The following is a 25673-nucleotide window of genomic DNA, read 5'->3' on the forward strand; positions in this document are numbered from 1 at the left end:
AATTGCTTCTGGGCTCTCTTTCTGTGTGCCTGGTAAATGAAACACAAGGAACCTCACCAAACTACATGACTAATGGCAACCTCCAGTGCCGCCTGCAATCAAAGATTAATTTGCTTTATCAAGTTTAAAGAATACTGGGTGATAAATCATGTCAAAAAGAAATAATCAGTCAAAGGCTGATGTTCTTTTCTACATGTGAGGACAGGTGCTATGAGGCATGCACTTGTCATATACAGTTAATTTTCTTTTCATGCATTTATGTTCATCTTAATTACTATTTAGTTGATGCTTGAATCAAATAATTTCTCTCATTAAGATCAACCAGCATCCCAACTGCAAGGCTGCAGTATTATAGATTCAAAATAACATTTTTTTCCTTTTAATTTGTATAAGGGTATTTTCACATGAGTATTAATCACAAATTTTTTTATTCAAACATGAGAATGCCAAGTGGGAAGCGAAATTATTTTCTCCATTTCAAGATACCCAAGAATATCAACTGGATGTTCATGTTTATAATATATGTCTGTGTGTGTGTTATATCTACGTATTTTATATAAAATTTTCATTTTACTCGGATTTTCTCACCTTTTTTTTTCTTTTCTTTTCTTTTCTTGAAAGAGAGAAAGCTAGAGTCTCTAATTCTGTCTCCTGGGTTCATAATGCAGGACTCACTTTAGGTAAGATTATATTATAAAGAGGTCATCTTTCAGGACTTTTAGCAGCAAACACATTTGAGCAGGATCAAAAATGAATCTTGTGTCTTTTCAGACACCGTGCTATCAGGACTCTTTAAAAGCAAGACTCAGATTATTGTCTTAGGAGAGTCTCTTATTTCTAATTATAGTCTTATGAACTGGAGCCTCTTTAAATGTTTTTGGTATATGTAGATATGTATTACTTCCTAGCTTAGGTCTTTTCTAGCTCACTCTGCCTTTGGTGGCTAATTAGAGATTTAGAAATTAATTTTCCGCTTGATGTACACAATTAAATAAAAATTCATCATAGACTTGAAACTTGGAACTGTGAAGCTGTATCGTTTGAGTGGTTGTAGGAAATCTTATCCCTAGAGTAACTCTTCATTTTCTTTTTCTTCATGGTTTCTCTCAGTTTTTGTCTAGATCTTGACCTTTTTCACTCCAGTAAATTGTCAGTAGTGCAGGAAGACTTGTGGCTGGCTTTTGTTTACCTTTTATTCTGCTTCTGATTCCTGAGAATTATTTTAAAATATTTATAAAGTTCTATTTTTGACATCAGTAGCATCCTAAAGAGAGAATATCTTATATTGGCTGGGTTTTAAGACTTCTTTTTAAACTGGATAGGAATTTAACTTGCCTATACTTAATATATATTTTTCCACATGAAAGTATTTATTGTGTTCTATTTCATTTCCAAAATGAGATGATGGGACAAGTTGATGAGGTCTCTTACAATTTGAAAGTTTTGTAACTCCAGACATACCTATTTTGATAGTAACTGAGTCACCAGTGCTCATTAGCAGTTTGCATAATAGACATCTATTCTAGGGAATTGCTGTAGTATAGACTGCATGGTGGGGTAAATAGATTTAGATTTGAAGACTGAACACTTCCATCCAGGGTCTAACTCCAGCATTTGTATAAACTTGGACAATACTTTTGCTACAGGGTTGTCATTGAAAGTATTGCCTCATTATATTTCTTAGTGGTCCCTGTATGAAGCCATATAAGAGAAACTTCTTAATTTAGCACTAGGAAATGCTTCTGTTGACTTGAGATGTGTGTGTGTGTGTGTGTGTGTGTGTGTGTGTCTGTGTGTGTGTGTGTGTGTCTGTGTGTGTGTGTATTCCCCTAATTGATAAACTATAAAATAATCTTTCTCTTTTCACTTTGGCCATCTGGAAATTTGCCACCAATTTATGGTTCAACTGTATAATTGCATGTAACATTTATAATCTGCTTTCATGAATTTTTATCCTTGTATTCCTCCCACTCTGATTCAATTTTATATTATAACTGGTCCTTGTGTCTCATTTTATTTTATCTCTACTTTTTTAATGTCCGGGATTTCCTATATGTCACCCCAAATACTGAGTCACTGTGTAAATAAGTAAATATATATCTACTCTATATCTATAAGTAGTGTGATATATGAGATATATATATATATATATATACACACACACTGAATCACTTTGTAAATAAGTAGAATTGCCCTGACTCCATCACTAAGTATTCAAAAGTCAGTTATTTCTTTTAGAGCTTTAGTATTCTCACTTGTAAAATAAAGAATGAACTAGATTGCCCTTGAGAACTTTTTAGACCCAAATTCTAGGATTAAAAACAACATAGGACTTCCAGTTTCCATTTGGAGCCTAGAAAGCTGGAAAGAGCATCACTTTCACCTCTGAAACAACAATAAAGCTGGGAAAACTGCAAGCTTATGACTTTTCTTGAATCTGCCAGAGAACTGAAGTGGAAAGACAACCAAATAGCCAGAAATGTAAGCAGAGATAGATGCTTGCTAGGAAAAAAGGAACATGAGCACTTGCTTACATAAGGTTGACTCATGAATGCCATAAGAATAACTGGGCTAGATAGTTAATAAGTTGGTAGAGGCTGAGTGTGGGCTGGCAAGAGAAAGTGAAGCCCCAGATGGCCTTAGATATATGGAGATTTTATACCCTCTTGCAGGCTCTTTTATCACAGTCCCACCAGGCAGTTTCTCCTACCCTTCCCTACTGCAAAAAAAAAAAAAAAAAGTCCTGAGAAAGCATCCTTCATAGTGCAGGCTTAGAGAACGAAAGCAACAGTGAAAGGGACACAAAACTCCACCTGAATGCTTCTTCCTATTTCCCCAACTGGAAATATTTTGATTTTTGACAAATATGCCATGGTTATATAGGATGTTAACCTTAGGGAAAACTAAATGGATGGTATATAGGAATTCTTTGTACTATATTTGCAACTTTTCTGTATATCTAAAATTATGCCAGGCCAGGTGCAATGGTTCACACTAGTAATCCCAACACTTCGGAAGGCTGAGGCACTCAGGAGGATCACTTGAGGCCAGGAATTCAAGACTATCCCGGACAACATAATGAGTCGTCATCTCTGCAAAAAATGGAAAAATTGGCTGAGAAATGGTGGCATGCACCTGTAGTGCCAGCTACTTGAGAGACTGAAACAGGAGAATCACTCGAGCCCAAGAGTTCACAGCTACGATGAGCTGTGATCATGCCACTTGCACTTCAGCCTGGGCAACATACTGAGACCCTGTCTCTTTAAAACAAAAAAAGAAAAAAGAAAAATAATAAATTTTAAATTTAAAAAAATTGTAAATAACAATTTACAAGTAAAATTATTTCAAATGCAAAGTTTAAAAAAATAGGCAGCAACTGTAGCCCCACCCGCTTTTCGGGTAGCATTCCTTTGAAGTAGAGATAGTTCCCTCATTTGGCAGATTAGAATTCTTTTCTTATTAAAATAATTTTATATAGTTAGAAAATCCTGAAAGTCTTCTCCATCCATCTCTTCCCTACTCTACCCCATTGTTGGCATGAGCATCTTTTCTTTCAGTGCTTAACCTTGTTATGGTTTTTATCCCATTATATGAGACTTATCTACATACTTATCTTTCTTTCAGAATCCTCAGTGCTTGGCCCATGGTAGGCATTCAGTGGTATTTATTGTAATAAACCTGGTCTTCTTTAATTGTCACTTGTCTTGATGAATGGCACCATTCTAGTATAAACCAGAAACCTAGGAATCATTTTTATTTCATTTCTTCCTTACTCTCTACCAAGTTCTACTATATATTTTTTGCCTCATAAATATGTCACCAATCTATCTGTTTCTGTCTCCTCTATAGCCCAACTCCAAGCGACCGTCTCTTTTACTTGGGATATTACATTATACTCCTAACTTGAATCCTGACTCTTTTCTCACCTTCGCCCACTTTCAGCCTACTATTGTGCATTGTACAATTGTAGCCAGGGTAGTCTTCAAAAATATAAACCTGATTTTGCCTTTCTGCCTGTTTAAATAACTTTCTATTGTTTTTAGGATAAAACCCAACTTTACATAGGTATGTGGCCCTTACTGGCCTAGCCTCAATTTTCCCCTTTAACTTACATGTAAACCCCACTCGTCTAGCCAGCCCACTGGTCTTCTTTAAGACCCTCAGCAGCATAAACTCTCTTATAACTCCAGGACTTTACATACATCACTTCTTCAGTCAGGAACATTCTCTTCTGTTTCTCCCAACCTTCCCCTTTCACCGTTATTTCCTGCTTACCCCTCAGCTCTCTGCTTAAATTTCATCTCCTCATGGAAGCCCTCCCTGATCTCCCAGGCTAGGTTATGTTATCTTTTTCTATACTTTCACAGCACCCTCTACTTTTCCATTATAGCAACTCGCACAGTTTGTAATAATGTTTGTGTGATTATTAAATTAATATCTGTCTCTTTCACTAGAACTGTAACTTCCATGAGGATAGGGATCATGTTTGATTTTGTCCATTCCAGCATCTGGCACAGTACTCAACACATATTGGAATATTTATCAAGCTCACATTAATCAAATTCAGTTCAATGTTTATTAAAGGAATAAAAGAATAAGCTATACTGTGCTAAGTGATGGAGCTGGAACTACAACTGAGTACATATACCCAACACTAGATTAGCCACCTCTTCTGTTAGCAGAGTTTGGGCTATAAAGAGCAGATATCATGTCATACTCCAGTTTATAAAACCTCACCCCAAGTCCTTTTGATGCTCAGTCTTTTTCTGTTTGAGAACAGGTCCTGCCAAACTTAAGAATCCCTGAGTACAGGGATGGGAGTGGGCTGAGAGATTTGTACAAGGCACAATGGAGCATTTTGCAGTAATGGAAACTTTTATTGTGGTGGTAGTTACACATCCATATGCATTTGTCAAAACTCATAAACCTCTATGCTTTTGAGAAGGTTGAATTAAAAAATTCCTATTTTGAGGTAGACATCTGCTTTGTATCCAAGGACCTCTTCATCCTACTCTTACATTACTGTGAAGGGTAGATCCATGTGTCATGAAGACATGAAAAGCTATTCCAAGTCCAGAATATTCCACACTACCTGTGTCTTACTCCCACCCTTTAATCTAATCAAGTTTTATGAAAATTGAATGAATTAATGAAAAGCAGAAACTATCTTTGGCTGTTTGATCATATCAGGACAGCTCTGAGGCCATTCTGTTCCCATGATAGGCTGTACTTACTCATCTCTACCTGATTCTTCCTCACAACATTCATTTAAGAAACATTTGCAGAATCCCTAAAAATGTTTCTTTTTTCCTTTCCCTACTCTTTACTAAAAATAAATGTGTCAGAGAGGACCTTTCACTATAACATGATTTCCTAAATCCAGGCCAAGATAAGATCTCTTTCTCAGTGGAAACAAAGTATACTCAGACTTACAAGTTCAATTGAGTTAGTATTTAAAGTTGGTTTATTAAGGATGGGAAGTTAAAAATGTAAAGATAGGCTGGGCGCAGTGCCTCACACCTGTAATCCCAGCACTTTGGGAGGCCGAGGTGGGCGGATCACAAGGTCAGGAGATCAAGACCATCCTGGCTAGCATGGTGAAACCCCATCTCTACTAAAAAAAAAAAAAAAATACAAAAAATTAGCCAGGCGTGGTGGTGGGCACCTGTAGCGCCAGCTTCTGGGGAGGCGGAGGGAGGAGAATGGCGTGAACCTGGGAGGTGGAGTTTGCAGTGAGCCGAGATCTCACCACTACACTCCAGCCTGGGATGGAGTGTAGACTGAGATGGAGCGAGACTCCATCTCAAAAAAAAAAAAAAAAAAAAAGTGAAGATATATACTTTGATCAAGCAAAAAGCCTAAACTGGAGAATTGGTTAAATTAATTAAGAGGAGGCTGAAATCACAGTGCTTATTTGACGGGAGTGTCTATTCTGACTTTTGCTACTGCCAACATTCAACTAAGTCACTCAATTTTTTTATGATTGCATCCTTATTCAAGAGTTCATTTTAAACATTATGGTTGATGACCTAACGCTGAATAATACCTGTAGCACAGAATACCTGGCATATCCATCTTGGGTTTTATATACTTTCATTTTTTGGTTAACTCTTTGTTTTCTTTTATACCTATTTAGTATGTCATATAAAATGCGTAATTTGCATGCCTTCAAAGTAAAATCAAGACTAAGAAATTCAAACTTATTGGTGAAATACCAGCAGATACAGATTGCTTGAAATATACAAGGTCCTATCATTAGTTTCAAATCTTTTTCATATGCTGTATTGGAAATAGAGGTGTTAAATTTCTACCTGTTACGGGCATGAGTTTACTTTTGGTTTTTAATGATAATAGAGCTTCCATTTTTTTGTCTTCTGTGCTCTATATTTTTAGTAGAATGTTTGTGGAGCCCCTCTCTCAAGATGATAGGTGATTCTTAAAAGTAAGACTGGTCTCTTTTTCATAGAATTTTCTGCCAAAATGTAGTTTCAAATATTTAAACAGTAATTGAAGAAAAAAATATTGTTAGAGTACAACTATACAGCTCTAGATCCCTAACTGGATGTTCAGTAAATAAATGCTCTTGTTAGACAGTGAGGCCTTGGAACCCAGGCTATTATTGCTGTTGGTGATACAGTCTGAACCAAGTGTTCTGCCCTATCCTTTATAGATAAGATTTTATACCCATCACAAATATTAATTATTGCAAATTTGCTTTTTCAGTTATAATTCAAGTTTGGGATATATTCAAGCATGGTCTTCTCATCTTAGTAAATTGCCAGTAGTAAGATGGCTAGTTGTGAATGCTATCTGTCCAAAACATGACTTTTTTTCCTTAGAAGAAGAAGCCTGTCTCTGTATTTGTTAGCATTCAATAAGGAATGAAGTATAGACTGTCTCAAAGGCCTACCATGTACCAGTATGCTGGATACTTTATTTACTTTGGTCATTATAACAACTACATAAAGCAAGTATCATACCAGTTTTAGGGATGAGGAAATGAAACCTCAGAATAAATGACTGTCAATAATAGCTAATGAATTATAGACCAGTGTTTCAGACCTTGAGCTCTTAAGTACAGAGGCACATGAAAATTGAATTATAGGCATTTACATTATTTTTCTAGGCATAAGTAATAAAGACCTGGTTTCTTAAAAGATTAATAAACAGTTTGTTTTTTATTTTTAAAATCTATTTTATCCATTGCAGTATTTTGTACCTAAAATTAATGATTGTCACAAATCACCTGCTCTTATCTGGTAAGCTAGTGGGATAAACAGCTCCATGATCACTCACTGTTGTGTAGCACAGCTAGTCCAGATTTGATACCTCCACAAAATAATCCACTGTGGGAAAACAGAGTTCCAAATGGAAGTTTTTGTTCCTAAAGGATGACAGAACAAAGGAATTTTCCACTTAATAATTCTTGTATGTGTTGCTATGAAACACTATTGAATAACATCATGGAATCAGAATACTTGAACTGGAAGAGATCATATAATATATAGTCTAGTAGTTTTTCTGTTTGCTCCGTGGTTGGGGCAGGGAGGGGAGGAGGAGGAGCTTGGCAAGTTATCTTCTCCTTCCGTGAAACAGAGCACTTTAAAGTGCTTACTTTCTTTATCACTTACTTTCTCATATTGGCCTTCCAGGTAAGCCCTTATTTAAAGAAATGGTTCCACATCTTTAAAAAAATTTTTTTCACCATTTCCTGATTTTACAGATGGCAGTTTAAGGCCTAGAGATACGAATTACCTTTCCAAGGTCATTCCACTTGCTGGAGTAGGTCTCTCAGTGTTGTAGTTTATTCATTTCTTCGGTAAACATCTATTGAATATCTGCTGTATCCCAGTCCCTATGCTTAGAGCTCACAGATGAGTGGAAGAGACAGATGGATGAACAAATAATTGACAGCACAGAATGACAATGGAAATGTATGAAGTTCCATATGAAAGAGGTCAAGAGAAGCATCCTAAGAGAAATTATATTTGAACGAGGTCTTAAAGATGGAGATGATTTTGCCAGGTTGAAAAGGAGAGGATAATTATTCTCAGCTGAGGGAACAGTAGACAGAAAGCCATGCGAGTATTACAGAGCATGACATGATTAGTCCCTGTCAGAGGGACTGGGGGTGTAAAATACTGGGAAGATAAAACAGCAATTAGGGGAAGGGTTATTACTATAGTTGGGAAGGGCCAGAACAGGAAAGATCCTCCACAGCAAGCTAAGGAAGGAAGGTTTTACCCTGTAAGAAATAGGCTGCCGTCTGGGCGTGGTGGCTCATACCTGTAATTTCAACACTTCGGGAGGCCAAAGCAGGTGAATCACTTGAGCGCAGGTGTTTGAGACCAGCCTGGGCAACATGATGAAACCCTGTCTCTACCAAAAATACAAAAAATTAGCTAGGAATGGTGGTGTGCACTACTCCCAGTTACTCAGGAGGCCGAGGTGAGGTAAGAGGATCGCTTGAGCCCAGGAGGTGGAGGTTACAGTGAACCAAAATCATGCCGCTGCCCTTACAGCCTGGGTGACAGAGCAAGACCCTATCTCAAAAAAAAAGAAAGAAAGAAAAAGAAATAAGGTAAGAAATAGGGTGCCATTGAATATTTTTAACTAGGTAAGAGATGTGATTGATCATTTATTTATTTCAAAAAAAGAATTATTCTGGTGGCAGTGGCCTAGTCCTAGAGGGAAAAAAATACAAACTGCAGGTTGCCCTTCAGCCATCTTGCCTCTTTCACTTATTGATGGCTGCGAATGGTGCCCCCATTGCCTTCCCCAATGGCAATAAGTGTTCATTATGTCTTGTTTTGTTAAAGGTGTTTTGTCCTTTATGGTCTCTGCCTGCCACAACAGCATAGATCAGATTTGGAGGACCTTTTAAAACTGAGTGTTTGACTATCTGTGAAATCCCTTTTTGTGTTTTCTTCACTTGAAATGACATTATGACTTACTGTGAGACAGGATAATTTGTAGTTTCTTTTGTCATGATCTTCTTTGGATGTCATAGACCATGGAGCGCTCTGCATTGGTTCAGAGGAACTGAGAATGGGAAGGACACAAGATTTTTATATTACTATTTCTCTTGAGTATTCTCGCTTGTGATGGATTTTGGCTCCAGGCATAAAGATATATGGAGAAGCAGCCTGTTGGGAGAGAATTTTATATTTCGCTTGGCTATTTTGTGACTAAATACAGTGTTAAATTATTTGTGTGATGCTTGCATGATATTAAATTGAAAGAGCTATTGTTTTATCAAAAAGTGCTTTAGCATATACTATGAAGGCTAGATATTAAATACCAGGGCTTCTGTATATAAAGAAAAGTCAAGCCAGATTTCTTATCTTAAATTACTTTAGTAAGTAAGCTTAGCAGTGGTTCCTAAGAAACCTAAAGCTCTCTTTCTCATCAAAAGCCCCAAACAGTTGGTCTTTGGGGGCCATTTTTCTTGACATTATGCTCCAGACTCAATCAGAATTCTGGGTAAGCTAGTATCTTAGCATTCTCTGTCTCCAAACCTTAGATCACCTGTGCTTTAAAATAAAATCTGTATTACACTTTCTCCTAAGCAAGATTTGTCTTTTTTTTTAAATGAAATACAGAAGAGAAGCAGAAACTTTTCTTTAGTATAAATTCTTAGAAACAATGCATATTCTAAAGGCCATAGGAGTAGACTTGCCCTTACTTCGTTCCAAGGTTCCTCTGCTCCCTGGTCCTCCATACTTTTATCAACAGCTGTTTTGGAGATTTCTGAATGTTTTGATACTAGCAAAAATAATGAAATATTTTTATCAGCGCAATAGAGAAAGATTGCATAACAAGCGAGAACCAATTACACAACTTCAAGAAGGCTCAAACCAAAAGTTGCTCATAACAGTAATGAAATTGTTAATTGAAATAGGCCCAAAGTATATGTCATGTCTCGTCTCCTGGAAGCCGCATAATGGGATCCATATTTCATTCCCAAAAAATAGTGTTTCTATGAAGTCGTGTAGTGGATTAACTCTTCTTTAAAAACTAATCCCCCCAAAAGTAAGGGAAAACATATTACTTTAATTAATAATGTGGGTTTTTAGATACTCAAAGGATAACATCTTAGAGGAAACTCCATATTGTGTGTAATAGGCCCCAGGAAGAAGAAAAAACATTTGTTAATCACCTGTAATAGGCAATCTCAAACATTTTACATAAATTTTTTCTATTCCTTGCAACAATCCCATAAAATTCTACTTCTAACATTGGTAAGGAAACACAGCCAAGGAGGAATGCCTTCTTTTCCTTCTTTTTTACCTTAAGCCTTGGGCATTGGGGTGAGGTGACCAAATAATATCCTCTAAGGTAACAAATAAGGATAAAGACCTAATTTATCTTCTATGCGTATAAGAGTTGAAGGAAGACATGGATGATAAGCAGTGTGCCCAAAAATCTCGGAGCATATTGAAAAGTGGATAAGGCTTTCTTTGTAGAAAGGGCAGAACAAGAAAATGTAATTATCAAGAGGAGGAATGCTGTTTATTGTGTGACTTCTACGTGCCAGTATTCTGCTAGGTGTTTCACACATGTAATCATTTTAAGCTTCACAACAATCATGTAGGGTAAATGCACTTTTCTTCATTTCACAGAGGAGACCTTAGGGGTCAACATAGTTAAGTAACTTTTTCAAAGTCATACAGTTGGTAATTGTTGGGACAGAAATTAAACTCAGGTTCTGCAGGTAATATCCTCTAAGACCAAAAAAAAACGGTATGTAATGTGTTGTATATTTTTCTGGGAGAGGGTAAATATCTTTGATCATATTCACAAAGAAGTTCTTAACCCCCCAAAATAGAACAACTTCTATATTATGCCATCTTAAGATAAGCAGTACAGAGCAGGGAACTTGGAGCTATGTGAGCTCAGTCTTTATATCCCCCTTAACTTCTACCCAGGTAATAGTAGCAAGTTAAACCAGAAAATATATACATATATCCTTCATAATCCTTTAGGGCTAAGAAGTCTACTTTTTATTTTGTTGGAGAAGAGGTATAGTGTGCTAGGTGAATGTACAGTTGCTAGAGTTGAATTGCTTAAATTTAAATTCTAACTCTACCACTTATTCTCTTACATCAAATTGTACTATCACAGTTTCCTCATTTATAAAAGTAGAATAGTAATAGTACTATCTTATGGTATATGTGAGCGTTAAATTAGTAAATATGTGTAAATTACTTAGTGCAGACAGCAGTTTCCAAAGGACATTTGATGATATTTAAAGATATTTTTGGTTGTCACAATTTGGGAGAGGGGTGCCACTGTCATCTAGTGATAGAATCCAGGTGCATTTTGCAGTGCACAAGACAGCCCCACAACAAAGAATTATCTGACCTTCAGTGTCAGTAGTATTGAAGTTGAGAAGCCCCTGGTTAGCACAATGAGTGGCATATACATTTTTATAAACATTTGCTATTATTTTGTGCTGAAGTCTAAAAAAAAACATGGAAGAAAAAGTAGAATTATTATGTAATCATCTTTTCTTGGTTGTTTTGTGTGTGTGTGTGTGTGTGTGTGTGTGTGTGTGTGTGTGTGGTTGTTTGTTTTTTTGTGTGTTTTTTTTTTTTTTGGTTTTGTTTTTTGTTTTGAGACAGAGTCTTGCTCTGTCACCCAGGCTGGAGTGCAGTGGCGGTATCTCTGCTCACTGCAACCTCCACCTCCCAGGTTCAAGCAATTCTCCTGCCTCAGCCTTCCGAGTAGCTGGGATTACAGGCACCCGCCACCAAGCCCAGCTAATTTTTGTATTTTTGGTAGAGATGGGGTTTCACCATTTTGGCCAGGCTAGTCTTGAACTCCTGACTTCATGATCCACCCACTTCAGCCTCCCAAAGTACTGAGATTACAGGCATGAGCCACCGCACCTGGCCATAATCATCTTTTCTAAGCAGCTAAAGAAAGGTAAAATTTTTAATCTCAGGTGGGGGGGTCAGCCCCCCGCCCGGCCAGCCGCCCCGTCCGGGACGTGAGGGGTGCCTCTGCCCGGCCGCCCTTACTGGGAAGTGAGGAGCCCCTCTGCCCGGCCACCACCCCGTCTGGGAGGTGTGCCCAACAGCTCATTGAGAACGGGCCATGATGACAATGGCGGTTTTGTGGAATAGAAAGGCGGGAAAGGTGGGCAAAAGATTGAGAAATCGGATGGTTGCCGTGTCTGTGTAGAAAGAAGTAGACATGGGAGACTTTTCATTTTGTTCTGCACTAAGAAAAATTCTTCTGCCTTGGGATCCTGTTGATCTGTGACCTTACCCCCAACCCTGTGCTCTCTGAAACATGTGCTGTGTCCACTCAGGGTTAAATGGATTAAGGGCGGTGCAAGATGTGCTTTGTTAAACAGATGCTTGAAGGCAGCATGCTCGTTAAGAGTCATCACCAATCCCTAATCTCAAGTAATCAGGACACAAACACTGCGGAAGGCCGCAGGTTCCTCTGCCTAGGAAAACCAGAGACCTTTGTTCACTTGTTTGTCTGCTGACCTTCCCTCCACTATTGTCCCATGACCCTGCCAAATCCCCCTCTGTGAGAAACACCCAAGAATTATCAATAAAAAAATAAATTTAAAAAAAAAATTTTTAATCTCAGATATTAAATGACTTTAATTAATAGAACCTCAATATTATATGGAAAACCCCATTTAAAGTACGAATTTTTGATAGTATAAATGAATATGAAACCACATTTGATGCTATCAGATACTTGTAAATAGTGTATAGTTTAATCCTGTCTAGTATTGAGGTACTTGTCTATATATCTGTATTGATATATATATATATATAGAGAGAGAGAGAGAACATTTCATGATCATATATATAAAGTAATTGGTTAAGAGTATGGGCTTTGACATTATTCTGACTTGGGTTTAAGTCCCAGCCCTGTCACGTACAGATATGTGACTCAATAGACACATAACTTCTCTGGGTCTCAATTTCTTTTGTGGTAAATTGTGATGTTAATGTGATTGGTGTGATATTAATGTGATTTCTTCAGTGGTAAAATTGTGATATTAATGTCTACCTGCTTCATAGACTTACCATGTTGATTAAATGAGATAAAGTATATAAAGTGCTTAGCATAGTGCTTGCCCATAATGAGCACTCAGTAAACGATAGCTGTTCATATTATCGTCATCATCCCTGTCCCTGAAACTTCAGTACAAGTGATGTGGTAAAAACTAGAATAGTCAACCAAGAGGCTGATTGCTGGTAAAGTAAACCTAACCATAGGTTCTGTAGCTACCACGTACAAGCTATCTAACTTTACCTACTGTCTTCACCCATTCTATAAAATCACCTCAACTTCCCTGGCCACTGTACAAAGGCCCCTTTCCTCATTTGATATCTACCAACATCCACTGTTAGCATCCCTAACCTCTTTTGGAGATACCATGGATCTTTTTTACTGTTCCATTTTTTACTGAGCTCTGAGCTATGCTCATTTTTCATGTGTCCACTGAAGTCCACATAGTTATATATATTTTCTCCCCAAAATCCCATATCACACAAATAAAAATATCTAAACAGGAGAACTGTTTCCTATCTTGGGTTCTCTCAACACATGACTGTTAATTTTATTCTTTTCACTTACCGTATTTCACTTACTGTATCAGCCTCCTTCTAAATTATATCATAATCTCCCTTAAGTCCCTAGATTAGTTTGTTCAGAGGCAAAACAAAAGTGAAAGATTTTGTGAGAAATGCATAGTTTCATTACACATCTGGTAAAGACACGCTATGATTGCTTTCTTACAGTGTCCAGAAGCTAATTTATGGTACTTTCTTTGTTTATTGTACTTGAGCAATATAGAGTATACTCTGCAGACATGGTTTACACTTTGAATTAGTTTGCATCTATCTATATTAATGTGTTTTGTAAGCCAGGCCTTAATATCTCTTTATTGTGCTCTTTTGAAAATAATTCTCTTAAATCTATGGAACGTGTCTTACTTGTGAAGAAAGACACATTTTTCCACCTTTCTAAGATTAAAATAGTGAGAGAAACCTCAAAGAAGAGGAAATCCTATTTTAAAATAACAGCGATCTCCTCTGTAGACTCTTGGTTTGCAGGTTGTTAGTCTTCATCCTCTGTGTCAATTTAATGTATCACGTAAGTACTAGTGAACAGATGTGGGGGTAGGGGGAGGCAAGCAGAGTGTTGAAGCAGGAACCAGCAGCATTGGCAAACTGGCAAATGCTTCTGTTTTGCTAAACACCTGCTTTTCTTGTATTCAGATTGTCTGAACCATCTGTTTTTATATTCTGTTTACCTACTGTCAGCCATTTTGGAGTTGTTAAAATCTTTGAAAGTAGTTGGGAATTTTTCACAGTAAGCTGGGAATCTATACCACTCTTTAAAAACTTTGTGTTTTTAGGGTATTCCCATTTAATCCTCCAGAGAATAATTACTTTTTAATTTAGGTGCAATGTGTTAAATATTATATAATTAAAATGTTTTTCTCCCTTCCCAATTACTTATTCTTAGAAATCAAAGTTTAAATTGTCTAAATAGGTACTTGGCCATAGTGTGATAACACTAATAACAGATTCGTAATGATAGAATGTAAATATTAATTTATATGTCCCCTCTCATTAAAAAAAGAAAGAAAAAAGCATTACACAATTTGATGAAAGGTACTAATTTTTTATAAGCTTACCTACTAGATGATATGCAAGTGATATTCTCAATAAAAATATATAGTATTTATAAATACCTTTTTGCACCAGATACTATGCTAGGCATTTTGTCCACATTATCACAACTCTTCTCTACAGCCTTGCAAGGTAGATATTATTGTCCTCATTTTATAGATGAAGAAAATGATTCTTTAAGAAGTTGAGGAAATTGTTCATGCTCACATTTGTGACTGGAGATTTGAACTCTGGTTTTTACATTGCTTTTCAAAAATTCTGTCATACCCAAGAGATGATTCTGTGATCCAAAGTTTCTGCATAAGGAGTCAGAGGTGGTGCATTTTGTTTAGTTAGAAGTGAACACACTTCATTTGGTTTGTTAAATTCCTAGCTCTTTTCTAATTGTCTGCAGACGTTTTGTTCCTTTTGTCATTGAGGAACACTGTTGGAACTTGGTCCGCTGCTTTTGTGTTTTGCAAGGTTTTTCAAAAATGCTTTTACTTTAAAAAGAAAATGAACTAGTTGAGGTCTCTGTAAAAAATTCCAGCAGAGAATTTGCTTTTTCCTTAAAGTTTATATCTGTCTACTGGGGCCTCTAGTAACCTTTCAAGATAATAGTCAGAATAGAATGGCTATGTTAACATTTTTTTGACCTTTGTCACTACCCAGAAATGTGATCTGTGCAAAATAGACCTTAAAGATGCTATAAGTGGAGGTTCAGTTCAAATGATTTAAAGGCATGGTGTTAATAGATATAATCCATATTTATATTTCACTTTTCTAGAGCAAAGCTCACATAAAGACCACCGAAATCAATATTATGAAAGAGTCAGGCCTCTTTGGCCTAGGAATTTAAACACTTGAAAGGCAAGATCAGGTTTTTGGTTTTTTAGTTAGGATATTGGCAGGACTTGAAAATTTCTGAAATATTTAAATTCAAGAGTCGCCTTAAATATATGTTAATTTCAGGGAAAATAAGAAGCAATTCCACTTTCTCTGGTCAATAATAAAATTTACAGAACTTCTCCCAAGCAATGGCACAAATTAAAAATATAAATAGGCTTAATAAGTTCATGAATTAAAGATTCTCAACAAGTTATTATGAAAAGATATAAATATCTGGGCTACATTTCTAACCCTGTGAGGTTAATGGTCATTGGTGGAAGGTAGTTCATTGAAGCCTTAATGAGAGACAGTTATGAACTAGGTGAGCCATTGAGCTGATGGATGGCATTCTTATATAATTAACCTAGCAGTGGTAATCGCCTCCTTCAAGTTCCTAGCCTTTCTCGAACCAAGGAAAAAGAGCCAAAATTGTTGCCATTTTGCCACCTTGACATTTCTTTTCAATTGCCAAACCTAACTACCTTTCTTCAGTAATACAACTAAACCAGAGAGGGCTGGTTTTTCTGCATTCAGAACTGTGGATTTAGGGTCATTTTGGTATATATTTAATTGAACTCTTGGGAGCAGATGAACTCCCCCAAGGAACTGGGTATATGAGGGCGGAGGGCAGTTTCAATTCAAGAATGTGAAGAATAGAAATTTCTAACTGAAAATAAATAATTAGAAAGTGAGAAACCAGAGTAAGATGTCCATGAAACTCAGAATATCGAGGAGAAAGAACACATGGTAACAGAGGCAATAAAGGGCCCCAGAAGCTGGGCACAGTAGCTCACTCACGCCTGTAATCCCAGCACTTTGGGAGTCCGAGGCAGGAGGATCACTTGAGGTCAGGAGTTCGAGACCAGCCTGGCCAACATGGTGAAACTTCATCTCTACTAAAAAAAAAAAAGTAAAAAATTAGCCAGGCATGGTGGCACATGCCTGCAATCCCAGCTACTCGGGAGGCTGAGGTAGAGAATCGCTTGAACCCGGGAGGCGGAGGTTGCAGTGAGCTGAGATCGCTATTGCACTCCAGTCTGGGCGACAGAACGAGACTCTATCTCAAAAAAAAAAAAAAGGGCCCCAAAAAGATACAAGCTTTACCCCTCTGACTCTGAACTATCATGCACAATGTAGTCAGACAAATCTTAAACGTCACTCTTGTCCTAGGGTTCTTCCCACTTAGAAATCTCCCTGTTGCTCATGACATCAAGCCAGTACTCTGGCTTTTAAGGTTCTCCATAATCTAGCTCCATCTACTGTCCAGTTTTTGGTTTCCACAGCTCCCTTCTGTCATGCTGACTCCCATTTTTAACTTGGATCATACTGTTCTCTTCCTCCTTCTGCCCACACTCATACAAACTCATACCTGGATCATATTTGCTGTTAAAACTTAATAATGGCAATGCTCGCACTCATTTATTGTTTATTATACACCAGTCACTATGATGATAAACCTTCTATGTGCATTATATCTTAATAAGTCTCAAAATAATCTTATGACGAAGGTGTCATTAACCTCATTTCTATAGTAGAGTAACTCAACTAAGAGTACATAGGTAGGAAGTGGCATTCACAAGATTTGACCTTAGGTCCTTCTAACTCTAAATCCATTAAATGATGAAGTGTAATTCCTGATCTTGCTCCTAAAGCATTTTATGCTCTGTGTCCTTATTTTCTTAGCAAGGTTTGAGATTCTTGAGGAAAGGGGCAGTGTCTATACATATCTTGTATCTGTCATACAACTAGGACAGTGCTAGATTATCACCTATTTTCTCATTGATTGATTGGATATTGATTAGAGTGAGATGGTCAGACTTTATGGTGACAGAAGGAGAGAAATTTTATTCTGATCCTAGTCATATTTCTGAAGTAGGTGTTGTTAATTAGAGCAGCATCTTATTAAGAAACAGTGGGTTGGAACCAGCCAGTGTTTAGTTTTCAAGAATTGTACATTAGAAAAAGATTTATACAGAGTCTGTAAGAATGTTATTTTTGGCTAGATTAGTGGCACTCTTTTTTTTGTTTCATTTATTATACAAATACTTATCATTACAAATCTGTTTATTATATGCTAAACAGTGGGACACACTATTGCCTAGGGAAAGATATTCCTGCCATCACAGACTGGTGGAGAACACAAAGTTAATAGGTAATCATTGTTCAATGTAATGAGGCCCATGACTGATATGCAGAATACTGGGAACATATTGGAAGATAACTGATGAAATCTTGGGGAAGACAGGGGAAGACTGACACCCAGGGGGTGCTTGGGTTTCTTTTAGTGTCATTCACTTCTGCATATAACATACACAGGGAAGTAAGATAGGACCAAGAGTTGCATATTAGTGCAAAAAGAGAACAGAAGTGTTCAGCTTCATGTTTTCCACTTTTCCATTCAAGATTGCAAACAGGCTGAGTGCAGTGGCTCATGCCTGTAATCTTCAGGCGGATCACCTGAGGTCGGGAGTTCAAGACCAGCCTGACCAACTTGGAGAAACCCCATCTCTACTAAAAATACAAAATTAGCCAGGCATGGTGGCACATACCTGTAATCCCAGCTACTCGGGAGGGTGAGGCAGGAGAATCTCTTGAACCAAGGAGGCGGAGGTTGCAGTGAGCCAAGATCACGCCACTGCACTCCAGCCTGGGCAACAAGAGCAAAACTCCATCTCAAAAAAATAAATAAATAAATAAATAAAAATTGCAAACAAGACCAAGAAATCTAAATAACAGTTCACTTTAGTTTTTTTTTTTTTTTTTTTTTAACCAAATTAAGGGGGTTGAGGACAAAGTGAATATTCCATCTTTTCTAAGAAGATAATTAGTAAAACAAATGAATTTAACCTACTCCTCTTAGTTGGCACCAAGAACTACCTGCTATTTCCACTGTCTGATAGGTGCCAAGATTATTTTATGTGCAAGTCAAGGTGTTTTTTTCTGAGACGGAGTCTTGCTTTGTCACCCAGGCTGGAGTGCGGTGGCACGATCTCGGCTCACTGCAAGCTCCGCCTCCCGAGTCCACACCATTCTCCTGCGTCAGCCTCCTGAGTAGCTGAGATTACAGGCATGCGCCACCATGCCCAGCTAATTTTTTTTGTATTTTTAGCAGAGACGGGGTTTCCCCATGTTGGCCAAGCTGGTCTTGAACTCCTGACCTCAAATGATCTGCCCACCTTGGCCTCCCAAAATGCTGGGATTACAGGTGTGAGCTACTATGCCCAGCCAAGATTATTTTATGTATATTGAATGAAATAGCATTTAATATAGTGTTTACTTTGGATTTACTAGAACAAATGTCAGTGAATACATATTTTTCCCTAGCAGCTAAGAAACAGCATTGTCAAACAGTGAAAACAGGAAGTTGGGGAAACCATTTAACTGTATAACCTCAAGAAATCTAACCACTATTTGATTTTGCCATCTAAAGTATTGTGTTAGGCTGGGCTCAGTGGCTCACGCCTGTAATCCCTACACTTTGGGAGGCCGAGGCACGTGGAGCACCTGAGGTCAGGCGTTTTGAGACTAGCCTGGCCAACATAATGAAACCCTGTCTCTACTAAAAATACGAAAAATTAGCCGGGCATGGTGGCGGGGCACCTGTAATCCCAGCTACTCGGGAGGCTGAGACAGGAGAATGGCTTGAACCCGGGAGGCAGAGGTTGCAGTGAGCTGAAATCACGCCACTGCACTCCAGCCTGGGCGACAGAGTGATACTCCATCTAGAAAAAAAAAAAAAAAAATATATATATATATATATATATATATGTACACACACACACACACACATATACACATATATGTATATATATGGAGTTAATGATACCTAGCTGTGCCTATTTTGATTGTACATTCTTAGCGATGCAAGAGGGAGAATACAATTAGCCTTCCCCCAGCCAAAAAGAGGATAATCCAAGTAATTAAAGATTTAAAATAAAATTTTATGAATGAGATGTAGGAGGTAGAGAAAGTAGCCATAGAGAAAGTGGATATTTTGTCAGTTATTTTTCTTGATCACTATTTGAGAATAATATCATTTAATATCAACTACAGTGTGGGAAAAGGCAATGATGATTTCAGCAAATGAGCATTTACTATTAAAAAAGAAGCAAAAATAAGTTATGAAATATAGCAGAGTTCTCCACATACATTGATGTTATACAATTATGATTTATGATGATAATAATTCCCCTAATTCCATAATCTGTGAAAATGAAATAAACTTATTTCCGTGAACCCTTCAAAAAAGATAACTCCCACAAATTCCTAATCAAACTGATTTTAAAAGAAAAGAGAAAAAGTAGATTTGAATGGAGAAATCGAGTGCTACAGAATATAAAATTTTCATTCATTTGTATAGTGGATTGTCATCTTGAAGTAAAGATGAAATGAAACAAAGTTGTTTGTGCTTTGAACATTGAAGCATTGTTCATCATGCATAATTAACAAAGTTGAAATTTTGTAAGTATGAATCATGCACAAAAGAGCCACAGCTATGATAGCTATTACAGGAAATGGAGGAAATTAATAATAAAAGGCAATACACTACCTCATAAATACATTCTCATCATAAGATTGGAGCATGAAAGCATTAAGAAAATGCCCTGATTAATTTAACAACTTAATCCTGTAAATTGGAGTATAGTTATTTCAGAATTCATTTGTACATAGACAAAGCAGAGACACAAAATAGCTTACTTTCATTAAGATTTTAAAAGCAATTCTTATGGATATGTGAAGATAATATTCTTTCAAAAGAAAGATTATAAGCGGATGTTCCTTAATGTTTCCGAAATTACCTAGTTTCTATATCTTTCTACAAGTACTATATTATATTCATTAAGAATCAGAATTGGCACATTCTGGGTTACATTCCAGTGATCTTACCTTCTATATAATTTATTTTAAGTAACTGCTAAAATTATGATTTTTAAAAGACTATGTGATACTAGGAACATAAATTAGAAGAAAAAGGTACTTTCTTAGTTCTCAGTAATTGAGTAAAGTTTAATCCTGATTAGAAGATCCTTGAGTACCATTTTGATGTGTGAAATAATTTATTTAGATGTTTTTAAAATAAATTTTGGAGTATTTTTGTAAAGTGCAAATACATGAGTAGTTTTCTAGAACGGCTTTTATGTCATGTGAACATGTGTGGATCACTATATTTTTTTTCCTATTAGCTATTTGGTAAAAGTCCACAATTTGCCAAGATGGTTAATAGGACACAAATATAGACATTTCATATGATGTACCATGTAAATGTAAACCTTTGTAGTTACATGTTTTTGTAGCAAGAGAATTGTTTTAAAAGGCATGTAATTTATTAGCTATCGGTAGCTTCTTTATTGCCTTGCCGCACTGCAGTAATAAATAAAAGAAAGTGAACTGATTTTACAAATGGCACACAAGGTGCACATTTTGTGGGAAAAAAAGTCTTTTTTTAAAGAATTGGCATTAAATCCTTTTTTTGTGATGACAAAGAGGCTAAGAGTGCAAACTGTATTTTCTGTTTATCGAAAACAGTCTTTTTTTCTCCGGGGCATTTTTCCCTATGATCATCAAGGGATTTCAAAAGCAATAAAGTGTGGAATCATTGTTCGACTTGAACAGTATTAAAACTTAGGTTTTAATTTCAGTGAAGTAATAAGATTTGAACCTGTCTCACATTACAGCACTGTAAGGCATTTAGCAATTGTATTTTAAAGGAGGTTTTTAAAATGCAGCTCACTTGTAAGCTAACTGTCTGTCAGTAATTAATAGTTTTTCTTCAGCATTGGCTGTTGTGATCAGACCAAGAAATATCTGGGTTTTTAGTAACACATTATGATAATTGTGAATGTTTATTCCTAATTAGTCTAAATGTCTAATAATTTTCAGCTTGCTTCTCTGGCTGTTTAAAAGAAAACAGAGGGTGATGTTTAAAGCTACAGTGTGTCTTATAAAAAATATGAATGTACATCTGCATGTATATTTCAGTAAGTTTTACACCCGGCAAGATTATGTCAGTTGACTCATTCATTAACTAAGTATTTTATTCTTCAGTACCATTTCCTAGTTTTTGATATTACATCATTTATATAGGGATTGCCAAATAAGGTACTGTATGTAAAGCTAAACCCACACTGATGATCTGGACTCTTCAGTGATGAACATTGAAACTTGTCTTTACTTCTTAAAAAGGGCTTTAAAATATGAGCATTTCTACTAAAACAATGTGGCAACATATTTGCTGATGAAAGATTGTATTTACCATATTGAATTGCCTTAGAAAATAATTGCCTCTACAAAAGGAAACATCTGTATGATAGCGCATGGTTAAAGCTGCCATCAATTTTTAACATTTGAGGGTTGAGCTATGACCTTTTATGATGACTGTGAACAGTAACTGCATCCATTAGCCATAAGTTTTGTTTCTTTATTTTAGTAGATGGTCTAGACTGTAAATATTAGAGAATCTAAAATAAATCAACATATTATCCTAAGGATACAAAATGTAAGAGCTATTTGTGGTTGGGAACCTTTGACAGATAGTTTGGATGAAGCAGATGATTGCCTGCCTAGCGTATCTGGTCTCCATTGCTATGCCTGCAGGCAGTTTAGTGCTATGGTTGTATATTGATGTCAGGGTTAGTACTGAGTGGCTAGCAGTGACAGATGTCTATAATTACAGGCAATGCTTCCAGTATTTCTGAAAAGCCAGCCTATGTTGAACAATTATCTTATTTCTGCCTTGCCAAAGAGCATGTTCCAATTGCTAGTATTAGCAATGGTGAATATAGTGCTTTATCTGCTGCCTTGGGACAAATGTGAGAAAAGCACTTGGTTATAAAACATAAATGCAAAATATTTTTTCAACATTTTAAATTAGTTAAGTTCAGTGTTTTCCTAATTTTTATCTCCCCATAATGTTTCTTTTGAAGGAGTCTTGAAATATAAAAGCACATTTGGCATACTTATTGGAATTTTGTTTTCCCCTAGGCCTTGCGTGGCTCCCCAGCGCCAGTATCCCTTGCTTTACTGAATAGATGTGTTTAAGCAAGTTGGCTTTGAAACAAGTTTCTCCTATGTGAATTGCATTTTCTGGTTGACACCCATTACAAAATTGGAAATGCATTTCCATGGAAAATCTCCTATGCCCAGTAAGTTTAGTTGGAAACTTTTAACAAGAAAAATTATAACATAATAGAAAATTTTGAAATGTGCTAAACACCTTAGTACTGGTGGCTTTCCATTTGCTGAGAATTGCAATTCTCAAGTTTTGTTGTAACCTTTTTTTTTTTTCTTAAGCCTTTGACCATTTATTGTCCATTTCTGTCTCTCAATTTTCATGGTCACTTCCTTCCTTGCTCCCTCTTGGCCCACTTTTCTGACTCATTAGAAATGTTTTCATGCTTGTTGGTGCCAGTTCTCACCTGCCCTTTTTATCTGGTCATTTGCATTCATGAGCTATGGGCTGTCATACCACACTTTCCAGCAGGTGCGGCTGCCTAACACATGATACTCTCTAACCTTCCTAAAGATTAAGGTGTTGGGGGTTAAAACATTATCCATGTTGTAAGTTATGAATCCTGTATTTTCAGGTAATGTAGAATGAGAAATATCTAGGAAATATCACTTGAGAATGCAGTTTATCTTCAACCTTAATCTAACCTGCAATGGGTTTCTGCTTTGCATTTAACCACTTTGCTGAATTATTCATTACATTTTCTCATTTAGTCTTCTCAACAATGTTCTGTTTAATATACATGAATATCATTTTGCAGAAATATGAAACAATTTCAGAATTAAAAGCTTGTTTAGTGGCAGGCCCTTGGTTTCAACCAGATCATCTTACTCTGAACCCAGTTTGCTTTTCGCTGTATCACATTGGCTATGTATGTATTTAGGCATGAGTCCAGGAATGATCAGTTTCAGAGTGTGTTGACTGATAATGCCAATATCATAAGTTTCATCTCCATACTAGCTGTTTTACTTCCCAAGGAAAAGACTCATTTCTTTAACTGAAGATTGGATGTCTAGTCCTGGCTCGCCATCAGTCACAAAAGAACTAAGCTAGATCCTTGATATTTTATGTCCTACAATAGGAGAAGCAACCTAGAACCAATAGTCTAGTGTCAGAGATCAGTAATATTATATTTATTTCTGAAAGGTAGCCCCTTTCTGTTCCCACTGTGAGAGAATGCCCCTTGGGAGCCCATCACCTAAAAACTCTTAATAATTTTAAACTAATGATAGTGTTCTGGACCCCCGTGTCTGTGTACATTAATTTAGTAAAGAAAATTTGGGCCGGGCACAGTGGCTCACGCCTATAATCCCAGCACTTTGGGAGGCTGAGGCAGGTGGATCACGAGGTCAGGAGATCAAGACCATCCTGGCTAACACGGTGAATCCTCGTCTCTACTAAAAAAATACAAAAACTTAGCTGGGCGTGGTGGCAGTCGCCTGTGGTCCCAGCTACTCGGGAGGCTGAGGCGGGAGAATGATGTGAACCCGGGAGGCAGAGCTTGCGGTGAGCCAGGATCATGCCACTCCAGCCTGGGCGACAGAGTGAGACTCCATCTCAAAAAAAAAAAAAAAAAAAAAAAAGAAAAAAGAAGAAAATTTGGACAATTGGATGGACCTATTGATCTGAATGGGGAAAACTTTGATAACTTATTGGACACAGTGATCATCTACTTACTCAGTGAGTTGAAAACTTACCTTGGAGATAGGAAGCAGGAACTTGTATTGACTCAAAAAATGAGGATGAAAGCTTTGAATCTGGCAATATAGGTGATGCAGATAAGTTCTTGAGATAAAATAACACCAAATACCACAGATCATTCTGTTTTTCTCCTGACTTTTTTTCTATCACTTTTCTTACTACTTTATTTCTTTGCAAGACTCAAAGACTAGACCCATTATTTAATATTAGAAGTTATGTTACCTTTCATTAAGACCCTCTCCCCTCTAACTACTACTAAAGCTACTCACATACCCACTTAGAACATATATCTGTTTTCTAGTATCTAGTCCAGATAAAGCACAAAGAAAAGAGACATTCCAATAAAAATAATAGGTAATACTTATGAAAATTTTACTGTATACCAGGACTGTTATAGGTCCTTCACATAAATTAACCATTTTAATCTCAAAAATTCCACAGATTAGGTACTACTCTCATCCTTTTTATATTTGAGGAAACTAAGGTTTAAAGGGTAAGCAACTTGCTCAAAATTACTTAGTAAGTGGCAGAATCTCACTAGTCTTGGGCTTCAGAATCTATTCCTAACCACTTCACTAGATTACCTCCTATTTTGTGATATTATACTTTGTAACCCTAGTTAAAAGATGTACTTTTGCCAATCAGAAGGTTACTTTGCCTGCTTAAGTCATTAGCCTCAGTTGCCACACTTCTATAATGAAAGTGCTTCATGGGAAACAGTACTAAGAGATTCTTTTTGGTTTTTTTTTTGAGATGAAGTCTCACTCTTGTCGCCCAGGCTAGAATGCAATGGAGCAGTCTCAGCTCACTGCAACCTCTGCCTCCTGGGTTCAAGTGATTCTCCTGCCTCAGCCTCCCAAGTTGCTGAGATTACAGGCGCGTGCCACCACGCCCTGCTAATTTTTTGTATTTTTAGTAGAAGTAGAAGCAGGGTTTCACCTTGTTGGCCAGGCTAGTCTGGAACTCAGGTGATCCACCCATCTCGGCCTCCTAAAGTGCTGGGATTACAGGCGTGAGCCACCGCGCCCGGCTGAGATTCTTAAAAATCATTCTGTCAAATATTATTTATGATTTATTCTTTTTTAGGGCTAGCTTTTAGTAACTGGTTTCTGGAATTATCTCACTGAAGCAATCCCATTGTCATTCATATAACCACATCCAGAATTTGAACAGGACTTCACCATGTCTCTGCTCATGGGCTCCAGAATAAAATCAAAGTCCCAAGAATATCATAAGTAACAACCACAAAGATTGTCAGCCACTTTCTCCTTTTATTTGAGATTGGGGAGGCCTTTTGCTCTTATTTCTGGTGCCAGGTGGCAGGTCCCTAAACTTTGTGCTTTTTAGGTTGTACGCCTGAGGAGTGATGTACCCAGAGTTCCAGAGAAGGCTTGGAAAATAGTTAAGGTGAGTTGGGTTGCTGGTTATGA

At 37.0% G+C, this 25673-nt stretch overlaps 1 protein-coding gene and 1 long non-coding RNA gene across 18 annotated transcripts in view; one reads left to right on the top strand and one right to left on the bottom strand.

The window, feature by feature from the left end:
- Nucleotides 1-25673, top strand: part of RANBP17 (RAN binding protein 17) — a 437998-nt gene that overhangs the window by 273799 nt on the left and 138526 nt on the right. The window contains exons 1-2 of one of the 17 annotated variants that reach the window (XM_017009747.2): nucleotides 22545-22678; nucleotides 25591-25650. The exons of 15 other annotated variants lie outside the window; for them this stretch is intronic. In XM_017009747.2, coding sequence (XP_016865236.1) covers nucleotides 22658-22678; nucleotides 25591-25650 — 81 coding nt within the window. In that variant the 5' untranslated portion in view covers nucleotides 22545-22657. Of the gene's footprint in view, nucleotides 1-22517; nucleotides 22679-25590; nucleotides 25651-25673 lie in introns of those variants that run through there. One more of the 17 variants, XM_011534636.3, reaches the window with a different exon arrangement.
- Nucleotides 3636-7836, bottom strand: LOC124901133 (uncharacterized). Its single transcript, XR_007059046.1, has 3 exons — nucleotides 7756-7836; nucleotides 7247-7384; nucleotides 3636-3722 (listed from the first exon to the last, which is right to left on the bottom strand). It is a non-coding gene; the product is annotated as an uncharacterized LOC124901133 (long non-coding RNA).

The sequence above is a fragment of the Homo sapiens genome, chromosome 5 (assembly GCF_000001405.40).
Source record: "Homo sapiens chromosome 5, GRCh38.p14 Primary Assembly".
In the NCBI taxonomy this organism is placed as follows: domain Eukaryota; kingdom Metazoa; phylum Chordata; class Mammalia; order Primates; family Hominidae; genus Homo; species Homo sapiens.